Below are 12,887 nucleotides of genomic sequence, written 5' to 3'. Positions count from 1 at the left end.
AAGCAAATAAGTAAAAGAAATTTTTCTTTTCTGGTTTAGGTTTATTAAGGCCTGCTGCAAAGTTCAATTTAGCACAAAATAAACACATGTCCTTCAATACTGCTGCTGCTCTTTACATATCATTTTACTTGTAATCTTTAACATACTACTTATAAAGGCTTACCAACTTTAAATTTTAAACAGCTCAGATAATATTTAATACATTGCAGTTTATAATTTTCAAAGCATTTGGAATTCCTTTTCTTGTTTCATCTACATTAAAAAGAAGTAGTGGAATAAACATGTATTACTAGAACAATTTTGGGGGAAAATAACAGGTCTATAAAGGTTACTATTTACCCAAAGTTTCACAGCTAATAGATAGATGACTAGACTAGGCCATGACTAGACTTCAATTTCTCCAATTTCTCATTCAAAAATCATATTTAGTTTTTAAAAAGTAAAACACAAATAAATAAGATTATAAAACTACAATTCCAAAATCAGATTCACTAATATCCTTACCCAGGAATAAGTCTTAATCATTGTGTACAGAGCTTTCCACCTAGAATGTAGAATAAATTGTATTTAGTTAGTAAATAAACCTATAATTAGCCTCTTCTTAGGAAGTTCATGGAGACATAGTTGTGCATTTTGCCTCCGAGTTTTTTTATTCCTTAATATTTCCTCTTCTCTGTCTTACTTTAGAAACTAGAAAAAGAAGAAGGCTACTGTGAGAAGAACATAGGTTTTTGAGTCAGAAGTTTGAGAACAAATGCAAAAGCAAGTTTTACCACTTATTAATGTGAAAGTTAAAAAATACATATAGATGCACCCTTTGAGCCATCTCCTATTTGTAAAATGACTGAGATAATATACTGATTAAGCACCAACTACGTGCCAGGCACTGTTCTAGGTGCCTGAGATACATTAGTGAACAAAACAGACAAATACCTTTATTCATATGAAGCTTATATTCTGGTAAGGTGGTGAGAAGAGGCAGATAATAATCTATTAATGTCTGACATATAAGTAAATTTTCTAATATGTGAGAGGGTAATAAGTGCCATGAGGGGGAAAAAAAGACAGAAGTAGTGGAACTTCACTTCTAGACATGAATGAAAAAACTGGCACCAAATTAGCCCTACCACAATAAACACCTATAAAATTAGACAAGATATGTGAGTCAACTGTTTTTGGGCAATGGAACTCGGGCAAGAGAGGACTGTGACCCCTAGAGAAAGACAACTCACAAGATTAGTTCCATCACTTCCCTGAATCTCTGTTATAAACAATTTCCCAATTGCTGCACAGAGAACAGGGGTCCCAGCATAGCTTAACAGTCTAACTGAACTAAGGAGGCAGAATTCAGAGGGTAGGGCTGCTGAAATAGCTAGAGTCTGTGAAATATGGCATCGGAAAAATAAGGAGATTGCAGAGAGTGGTCCTCAAGGTGTATGTGGAGGTCCTCTGCTGGTTTATGAATAAGGGCTGGACTTATACCTGCAACCAGGCAGGACCATCCGAGGCTTACAATTATACCAAACCCTACATGAGTTAAAAACAAATGAATTCCTTGTTAAAATAAGAATCCACATTCTTTGGAGAAAACTAACAAAATCCAGAATCTTTAAGATATATGATTGCCAATATTCAGTGTTCAGTACATAACTCCTTAGTCATACAAAGAAGCAGTGCTCTACAGTCAAGAAAAAAAAAAAAGAAAAAAATAGATAACAAACCCAAGATGGCCAAAAAAATGGACTTAATAGAAAAAGACTTTAATGCTGCTTTTATAAATATGGTCAAAAATTAAAGAAAAATCTGATCTTAATGAGTGAACACATAGGGAGTTTCCACAGAAAAATGGAAACTATAAAAAAATCATATGGAGACTCTATAAATAAAAAATCTAGTAATTGAAATACAAATAAATTTTATTAGATGGGGCCAGAAGATTGAAGATGGCAGCAAAAAAAAAAAAAAGAGTCAGGAACATTGAAAATCAATCAATAGAATTTATTCAATGTAAGTAATGAGGTTAAAAAGATTAAAGAAAAATGAACAGTATTTCAGGGGTCTGTTGAACAATATCAATGGTGTAAAATACATTTATTTGAGTCCCTGAGAAAAGGAGAGTGTGAATGAGACAGAAAAATATATATTTGAAGAAATAGTGGCTGAAAATATTCCAAATTTGATGAAATTACAACTTACTTAAGAATAAATGTAAAGAGATCTATAGTTATGCCCATAATAGTCAAACTTCTAAAAAACAAAAATGAAAAAAAAAATCTTGAAAGCAGACAGAGGAAAAAAAAAACCCCACATTACCTGTAGGGAAAAAAAGATAAATTTATTACACATTTTTAAAAAATGCAGGCCAAAAAACAATGATGTAAGATATGAAAGCTTGAAAGAAAATACTGGCAATAGAGAATTCAATATCCAGCGAGAATTTTCTTCAGAAATAAGGGTAAAATAAAGACATTTTCAGAATAAAACCCGAGTACATTTTCCACCAGCAATTGCCATGACCAGAAATTCTAAAGGGAAAACCATGAGGCCAAAGGGAAGTTATGCCCCAAGAAAATTTGGATCGGCAGGAAGGAATGAAATACACCAGAAATAGTAAATAAATGAGTAAATACAAAAGACTAGGTTTATTTTCTTTTCAAAAAGTACTTAAAATGTAATTTATGTTTAAAGCAAAAATAATATTAGAAGCAGAAATTTATATGTATATAGAAATAAAAGCTACGATAGCATTTGCACAAAGAATTAGGAGACAAGTATTGGATTTATACCGTTGCAAGGTCATTATATTTGTGAAGTGGAAAGTATATATTGGGAAGTGGAAAGTAGAAAGGTTAAAGTCAAACGTATTGTGTTATATGTTGAAGTTTTAAAAGGTACAATATTAATTCTAAATTAATTCTGGTAAGTTAAGGATGCATACAGTTAGCCATAGAGAAACCAATTAAAATACAATAAAAGAGGTATAGTTAGGAAACTACTAGAGCAAGTAAAAACTGAGTATTAAAAAATGTTGATAAACCGAAAAGAAGGTATGTTAGGAGCAAGATAGGAATTCAGCCATATCAGCAATTATGTTAAAAGTAAATAAACTAATACCCATCAACTGACAGAGATTTTCATACTGGACCAAAAAAAAAAGGTGCCAAAAATATATGCTGGGGTAAAATAAAGTCTCTTCAATAGATGCTGGGAAAACTAGATATTCACATGCAGAAGAAAGAAAGCAGACTCCTGTCTCTTGCCATATGTAAAAAATCAAATCAAACTAGATTAAGGACTTAAATCTAAGACCTCAGACTATGAAACTACTACAAGAAAACATTGGGGGAAATCTCCAGGACATTGGTCTGGCCAAAAATTTCTTGAGCAGTATCTCCCAACCATAGGCAACAAAAACACAAATAAACAAATTGGTTCACAAGGAGTTAAAAAGCTTCTGAACAGCAAAGGAAATAACCAACAAAGTGAAGAGACAACCCAGAGGATTGGAGAAAATATTTGCAAACTATCCATCTGACAAGGAATTAATAACCAGATATATAAGGAGCTCAAACAACTCTATAGGAAAAAGTCTAATAATTGAATCCATAAATGGGCAAAAGATTTGAGTAGACATTTCTCAAAAGAAGACATACAAGTGGCAAACAGGCATATGAAAAGTGCTCAACATCATTGATCATCAGAGAAATGCAAATCAAAAACTACAATGAAACATCATCTCATCTCAGTTAAAATGGCTTATACCCAAAATACAGGCAATAACAAATGCTGGTGAGAATGTGGAGAAAAGGGAAACCTTATACTCTCTTGATGGGAATGTAAATTAGTACAACCACTATGGAAAACAGTTTGGAGATTCCTCAAAAAGATAAAAATGGAGCTACTATATGATCCAGCAATCCCACTGCTGGGTATATATACCCAAAAGAATGGAAATCAGTATATCGAAGAGATATCTGCACTCCCATGTTTGTTGCAGCACTGTTTACAATAGCTAAGATTTGGAAGTAATCTAAGGGTCCATCAACAGATAATGGATAAAGAAAATGTAGATTGTAGCACTATTCACAATAGCTAAGATATGGAAGCAACGTAAATGTCCATCAACAGATGAATGGATAAAGAAAATGTGGTACATATACACAGTGGAGTCTGATTCAGCCATAAAGAAGAATGAAATCCTGTCATTTGCAACAACATGGATGGAACTGGAGATGGTTAAGTGAAATAAGCCAGGTACAGAAAGATAAACATCACATGTTCTCACTTATTTGTGGGATCTAAAAATCAAAACAATTGAACTAATGGAAATAGAGAGTAGAAGGATGGTTACCAGAGGCTGAGAAGGGTGGTGGGGAATGAAGGTGAGACGGGGATGGTTAATGGGTACAAAAAAATAGAAAGAATGAGTAAGACATACTGTTTGATGGCAGAATAGGGTGACTATAGTCAATGATAATTTAATCATACATTTAAAAATGACTAAAAGAGTGTAATTGGATTGTTTGTAACACAAAGGATAAATGCTTGAGGATTTGTGGATGGATACCTCATTGTCCACGATGTACTTATTTCACATTGCATGCCTGTATCAAAACATCTCATGTACCCCATAAATATACACACCTACTATGTACCAACAAAAATCAAAAATAAAAAATTTAAAATCAAAGAAACAAAACCCTAATGTGCCATGTAAAAGGTGTATTTTTAAAATAAAGGCAGAGGTAGGTTAGAAATAAACAGGTAGGAAAGCTACACTATACAAAGAGTAAACATAAGGAAGGTGGAGGAGCTATATTAATATCAGGTGAAGCAGACTTTAAGTATACACAATGATAAAAGCAGCCATTCACCAATAAGGCATAACAATTCTAAATATATATGCAACTAATAACAAAGAGTCAAATTCATGAGGTAAAATGGACAGAAATAAAAATATAAATAGTCAAATCCACATTTATGTAGAGAGATTTTAAAAACCTCTCAAGATAAGTAGACAAAAATTAGTAAGAAAATATAATATCTAAACTATCTTCTCAGTCAACTGTATCTAATGCACATTACAGGCCTTACATCCAAAAACTCAAAATTACACCTGAAATAATAAATCATACATTGGCCCATGAAATAAATCTCAGTACATTTTATTGAATGATTTCAGATTATGTCCACTGCCTGCAAAGAAATTGAATTAGACATCAGTAAAATATGGCAGAAAGCCTCAAATATTTGGACTTTGTATAACACACACTGGATTAAAGAAGTTGCAAGAGAAATAAAGAAGTATTTTGAGCTGAATAATAATAAAAACACAATGTGTTTAAGTTTCTGGGATGCTTATAAAGCATGGCTTAGAAGGTATTTTTCAGACATCATTGTCTATATTAAGGAAGAAAGGTCAAAATTAATGATTTAATATTTAACTTTAAGAAGCAAACAAGTAAATGGAAAGTAAATGGTAAACTGAACATAAGTAGAAGAAACAAATAATAAAGATAAAAGCAGAAATCAGTAAAATAGAAGACAGATAAACAATACATAAAATAAAGCCATAGTTAGTGTTTTGAAAAAAATGACACAATAAGAGTAACCAAGAAAATGAGAGATAAAAATCACATACCAATATCAGAAATAAAAGGACACTACTAATCTCACCAATCTTAAAATAATAAGGAAACATTGTGAACTTTATGTAAATAAATTTGACAACTTAGATAAAATGTATAAATTTTTAAAAATTTATAAATAATCGGGAGGAGCCAACATGGCCGAATAGGAACAGCTCCGGTCTACAGCTCCCAGAGTGAGTGACGCAGAAGACGGGTGATTTCTGCATTTCCATCTGAGGTACCGGGTTCATCTCACTAGGGAGTGCCAGACAGTGGGCGCAGGTCAGTGGGCGCGCGCACCGTGTGCGAGCTGAAGCAGGGCAAGGCATTGCCTCACTTGGGAAGCGCAAGGGGTCAGGGAGTTCCCTTTCCGAGTCAAAGAAAGGGGTGATGGACGCACCTGGAAAATCGGGTCACTCCCACCCGAATACTGCGCTTTTCCGACCGGCTTAAAAAACGGCACACCACGAGATTATATCCCGCACCTGGCTGGGAGGGTCCTACGCCCACGGAGTCTCACTGATTGCTACCACAGCAGTCTGAGATCAAACAGCAAGGTGGCAGCGAGGCTGGGGGAGGAGCGCCCGCCATTGCCCAGGCTTGCTTAGGTAAACAAAGCAGCTGGGAAGCTCGAACTGGGTGGAGCCCACCACAGCTCAAGGAGGCCTGCCTGCCTCTGTAGGCTCCACCTCTGGGGACAGGGCACAGACAAACAAAAAGACAGCAGTAAACTCTGCAGACTTAAATGTCCCTGTCTGACAGCTTTGAATAGAGCAGTGGTTCTCCCAGCACGCAGCTGGAGATCTGAGAATGGGCAGACTGCCTCCTCAAGTGGGTCCCTGACCCCTGACCCCCAAGCAGCCTAACTGGGAGGCACCCCCCAGCAGGGGCACACTGACACCTCACACGGCAGGGTACTCCAACAGACCTGCAGCTGAGAGTCCTGTCTGTTAGAAGGAAAACTAACAAATAGAAAGGACATCCACACCAAAAACCCATCTGTACATCACCATCATCAAAGACCAAAAGTAGATAAAACCACAAAGATGGGGAAAAAACAGAGCAGAAAAACTGGAAACTCTAAAAAGCAGAGCACCTCTCCTCCTCCAAAGGAAAGCAGTTCCTCACCAGCAATGGAACAAAGCTGGGCGGAGAATGACTTTGACGTGCTGAGAGAAGGCTTCAGACAATCAAATTACTCCAAGCTACGGGAGGACATTCAAGCCAAAGGCAAAGAAGTTGAAAACTTTGAAAAAAATTTAGAAGAATGTATAACTAGAATAACCAATACAGAGAAGTGCTTAAAGGAGCTGATGGAGCTGAAAACCAAGGCTCGAGAACTACGTGAAGAATGCAGAAGCCTCAGGAGCTGATGCGATCAACTGGAAGAAACGGTATCAGCGATGGAAGATGAAATGAATGAAGTGAAGCAAGAAGGGAAGTTTAGAGAAAAAAGAATAAAAAGAAATGAGCAAAGCCTCCAAGAAATATGGGACTATGTGAAAAGACCAAATCTACATCTGATTGGTGTACCTGAAAGTGACGGGCAGAATGGAACCAAGCTGGAAAACACTCTGCAGGATATTATCCAGGAGAACTTCCCCAATCTAGCAAGGCAGGCCAACATTCAGATTCAGGAAATACAGAGAACGCCACAAAGATACTCCTCAAGAAGAGCAACTCCAAGACACATAATTGTCAGATTTACCAAAGTTGAAATGAAGGAAAAAATGTTAAGGGCAGCCAGAGAGAAAGGTCGGGTTACCCACAAAGCGAAGCCCATCAGACTAACAGTGGATCTCTCGGCAGAAACTCTACAAGCCAGAAGAGAGTGGGGGCCAATATTCAACATTCTTAAAGACAAGAATTTTCAACCCAGAATTTCATATCCAGCCAAACTAAGCTTCATAAGTGAAGGAGAAATAAAATACTTTACAGACAAGCAAATGCTGAGAGATTTTGTCACCACCAGGCCTGCCCTACAAGAGCTCCTGAAGGAAGTGCTAAACATGGAAAGGAACAACCGGTACCAGCCGCTGCAAAATCATGCCAAAACGTAAAGACCATCGAGACTAGGAAGAAACTGCATCAACTAAAGAGCAAAATAACCAGCTAACATCATAATGACAGGATCAGATTCACACATAACAATATTAACTTTAAATGTAAATGGACTAAATGCTCCAATTAAAAGACACAGACTGGCAAATTGGATAAAGAGTCAAGACCCATCAGTGTGCTGTATTCAGGAAACCCATCTCATGTGCAGAGACACACATAGGCTCAAAATAAAAGGATGGAGGAAGATCTACCAAGCAAATGGAATACAAAAAAAGACAGGGGTTGCAATCCTAGTCTCTGATAAAACAGACTTGAAACCAACAAAGATCAAAAGAGACAAAAAAGGCCATTACATAATGGTAAAGGGATCAATTCAACAAGAAGAGCTAACTATCCTAAATATATATGCACCCAATACAGGAGCACCCAGACTCATAAAGCAAGTCCTGAGTGACCTACAAAGAGACTTAGACTCCCACACATTAATAATGGGAGACTTTAACACCCCACTGTCAACATTAGACAGATCAACGAGACAGAAAGTCAACAAGGATACCCAGGAATTGAACTCAGCTGTGCACCAAGTGGACCTAATAGACATCTACAGAACTCTCCACCCCAAATCAACAGAATATACATTTTTTTCAGCACCACACCACACCTATTCCAAAATTGACCACATACTTGGAAGTAAAGCTCTCCTCAGCAAATGTAAAAGAACAGAAATTATAACAAATTATCTCTCAGACCACAGTGCAATCAAACTAGAACTTAGGATTAAGAATCTCACTCAAAACCACTCAACTACATGGAAACTGAACAACCTGCTCCTGAATGACTACTGGGTACATAAAGAAATGAAGGCAGAAATAAAGATGTTCTTTGAAACCAACGAGAACAAAGACACAACATACCAGAATCTCTGGGACGCATTCAAAGCAGTGTGTAGAGGGAAATTTATAGCACTAAATGCCCACAAGAGAAAGCAGGAAAGATCCAAAATTGACACCCTAACATCACAATTAAAAGAACTAGAAAAGCAAGAGCAAACACATTCAAAAGCTAGCAGAAGGCAAGAAATAACTAAAATCAGAGCAGAACTGAAGGAAATAGAGACACAAAAAAATCCTTCAAAAAATTAATGAATCCAGGAGCTGGTTTTTTGAAAGGATCAACAAAATTGATAGACCACTAGCAAGACTAATAAAGAAAAAAAGAGAGAAGAATCAAATAGATGCAACAAAAAATGATAAAGGGGATATCACCACCGATCCCACAGAAATACAAACTACCATCGGAGAATACTATAAACACCTCTACGCAAATAAACTAGAAAATCTAGAAGAAATGCACAAATTCCTCGACACATACACTCTCCCAAGACTAAACCAGGAAGAAGTTGAATCTCTGAATAGACCAATAACAGAATCTGAAATTGTGGCAATAATCAATAGCTTACCAACCAAAAAGAGTCCAGGACCAGATGGATTCACAGCCGAATTCTACCAGAGGTACAAGGAGGAACTGGTACCATTCCTTCTGAAACTATTCCAATCAATAGAAAAAGAGGGAATCCTCCCTAACTCATTTTATGAGGCCAGCATCATCCTGATACCAAAGCCGGGCAGAGACACAACCAAAAAAGAGAATTTTAGACCAATATCCTTGATGAACATTGATGCAAAAATCCTCAATAAAATACTGGCAAACCGAATCCAGCAGCACATCAAAAAGCTTATCCACCATGATCAAGTGGGCTTCATCCCTGGGATGCAAGGCTGGTTCAACATATGCAAATCAATGAATGTAATCCAGCATATAAACCGAACCAAAGACAAAAACCACATGATTATCTCAATAGATGCAGAAAAGGCCTTTGACAAAATTCAACAATGCTTCATGCTAAAAACTCTCAATACATTAGGTATTGATGGGACGTATTTCAAAATAATAAGAGCTATCTATGACAGACCCACAGCCAATATCATACTGAATGGGCAAAAACTGGAAGCATTCCCTTTGAAAACTGGCATAAGACAGGGATGCCCTCTCTCACCACTCCTATTCAACATAGTGTTGGAAGTTCTGGCCAGGGCAATTAGGCAGGAGAAGGAAATAAAGGGCATTCAATTAGGAAAAGGGGAAGTCAAATTGTCCCTCTTTGCAGATGACATGATTGTATATCTAGAAAACCCCACTGTCTCAGCCAAAATCTCCTTAAGCTGATAAGCAACTTCAGCAAAGTCTCAGGATACAAAATCAATGTACAAAAATCACAAGCATTCTTATACACCAATAACAGACAAACAGAGAGCCAAATAATGAGTGAACTCCCATTCACAATTGTTTCAAAGAGAATAAAATACCTAGGAATCCAACTTACAAGGGATGTGAAGGACCTCTTCAAGGAGAACTACAAACCACTGCTCAAGGAAATAAAGGAGGATACAAACAAATGGAAGAACATTCCATGCTCATGGGTAGGAAGAATCAATATCGTGAAAATGGCCATACTGCCCAAGGTAATTTATAGATTCAATGCCATCCCCATCAAGCTACCAATGACTTTCTTCATAGAATTGGAAAAAACTACTTTAAAGTTCATATGGGACCAAAAAAGAGCCCGCATCGCCAAGTCAACCCTAAGCCAAAAGAACAAAGCTGGAGCCATCACATTACCTGACTTCAAACTATACTACAAGGCTACAGTAACCAAAACAGCATGGTACTGGTACCAAAACAGCATGGTACTGGTACCAAAACAGAGATATAGATCAATGGAACAGAACAGAGCCCTCAGAAATAACGCTGCATATCTACAACTATCTGATCTTTGACAAACACGAGAAAAACAAGCAATGGGGAAAGGATTCCCTATTTAATAAATGGTGCTGGGAAAACTGGCTAGCCATATGTAGAAAGCTGAAACTGGATCCCTTCCTTACACCTTATACAAAAATCAATTCAAGATGGATTAAAGACTTAAATGTTAGACCTAAAACCATAAAAACCCTAGAAGAAAACCTAGGCATTACCATTCAGGACATAGGCATGGGTAAGGACTTCATGTCTAAAACACCAAAAGCAATGGCAACAAGAGCCAAAACTGACAAATGGGATCTAATTAAACTAAAGAGCTTCTGCACAGCAAAAGAAACTGCCATCAGAGTGAACAGGCAACCTACAAAATGGGAGAAAATTTTTGCAACCTACTCATCTGACAAAGGGCTGATATCCAGAATCTACAATGAACTCAAACAAATTTACAAGAAAAAAACAACCCCATCAAAAAGTGGGCGACGGACATGAACAGACACTTCTCAAAAGAAGACATTTATGCAGCCAAAAAACACATGAAAAAATGCTCAGCATCACTGGCCATCAGAGAAATGCAAATCAAAACCACAATGAGATACCGTCTCACACCACTTAGAATGGCAATCATTAAAAAGTCAGGAAACAACAGGTGCTGGAGAGGATGTGGAGAAATAGGAACACTTTTACACTGTTGGTGGGACTGTAAACTAGTTCAACCATTGTGGAAGTCAGTGTGGCCATTCCTCAGGGATCTAGAACTAGAAATACCATTTGACCCAGCCATCCCATTACTGGGTATATACCCAAAGGACTATAAATCATGCTGCTATAAAGACACATGCACACATATGTTTATTGTGGCATTATTCACAATAGCAAAGACTTGGAACCAACCCAAATGTCCAACAATGATAGACTGGATTAAGAAAATGTGGCACATATACACCATGGAATACTACGCAGCCATAAAAAATGATGAGTTCGTGTCCTTTGTAGGGACATGGATGAAATTGGAAATCATCATTCTCAGTAAACTATCCCAAGAACAAAAAACCAAACACTGCATGTTCTCACTCATAGATGGGAATTGAACAATGAGAACACATGGACACAGGAAGGGGAACATCACACTCTGGGGACTGTTGTGGGATGGGGGGAGGGGGAGGAATAGCATTGGGAGATATACCTAACGCTAGATGACGAGTTGGTGGGTGCAGCATACCAGCATGGCACATGTATACATACGTAACTAACCTGTACATTGTGTACATGTACCCTAAAACTTAAAGTATAATAATAATAAATTAAAAAAATTAAAAAAATTCTAAATAATCAAAAGTTACAAGAGAAAATAGAAAGCCTATTCAGAAACTGAATTTGTAGTAAGTCCTATCATAATGATGAAACTTAAAGGCACAGATTTTTTCATTTGCTAACTCAATCATAACTCAAGACATTATGGAAGAGTTGGTAGCAATCCTATACAAACATTTTCAGAAACAAGACAAGGACAGAACGTTTCAGAACTCATTTTACAAGGTTCTAATATCAAAACCAGACATAAATAGCACAAGAGATGAAATTACAGATTAAAGTCCCTTATGAGTCTTGAAGCAAAAATCCTTAACAAAATTTTAGCAAATTAAATCCCATAATATGTAAAAATCATAATACATCATAACTTAGTAAGCTTTATACCAAGAAAGCAAGATGAGGCTAGCAAAAGAAATTCAATGTATTCATCATATTAAGAGAAAAATGGGGGAAAATGATATATCATGATAGATTCAGAGAAAACTGAAAACCATAAAACACTATGGATAGAAACTAAAGAAGATATAAGTAAATTGAGAGAGGTCTACCTTGTTCATGGATTAGAAGACCTGATATTGTTAAGATGTTTATTCTCCCTAGGTTGATCTACAAATTTAACTTAATTCTGGTCAAATTTCCAGAAGACTTTTGTAAAAATTGACATAATAATTCAAAAATTTACTTGGAAATGTGAAGGACCAGAACAGAGAAATAATTTTGAAAAAGAAAACAAAGTTGGCAGTTTCAATGTGTAGTAAAAAAGTACATTAATCAACACAGTGTGGTAAAGTTAAATATAAGCACATAGATCAATGGAATAGAAAGTCCTGAAGTAGACTCACACATAATGGCCAATTGATAATTTGCATGGGCAGCAATGCAATCTCATAAGGAAAGGATACTTCTTTCAATAAATGATATTGAAGCAACTGGATATTTGTATAAGAAGAATAATAAGGTCAGGCGCAGTGGCTCATGCCTGTAATGGAGGCTGAGGCAGGTGGATCACAAGGTCAAGAGATCGAGCCCATTCTTGCTAGCATGGTGAAACCCCATCTCTGCCAA

General features: G+C 36.7%; 1 annotated feature.

The window, feature by feature from the left end:
• Positions 6,104 to 6,604: an enhancer, noted in NCBI's record as "H3K4me1 hESC enhancer chr6:136091816-136092316 (GRCh37/hg19 assembly coordinates)". NCBI's record gives its function as "activates a minimal SCP1, AML or CMV promoter by ChIP-STARR-seq in naive H9 embryonic stem cells {active_cell/tissue: H9 hESC(naive)}" and the evidence as "EXISTENCE:reporter gene assay evidence [ECO:0000049][PMID:30033119]".

This window comes from Homo sapiens, chromosome 6 (assembly GCF_000001405.40).
Source record: "Homo sapiens chromosome 6, GRCh38.p14 Primary Assembly".
NCBI classification, from domain to species: domain Eukaryota; kingdom Metazoa; phylum Chordata; class Mammalia; order Primates; family Hominidae; genus Homo; species Homo sapiens.
The sequence above is the reverse complement of the archived record's forward strand: the minus strand, read 5'-3'. Positions and strand labels throughout refer to the sequence as shown.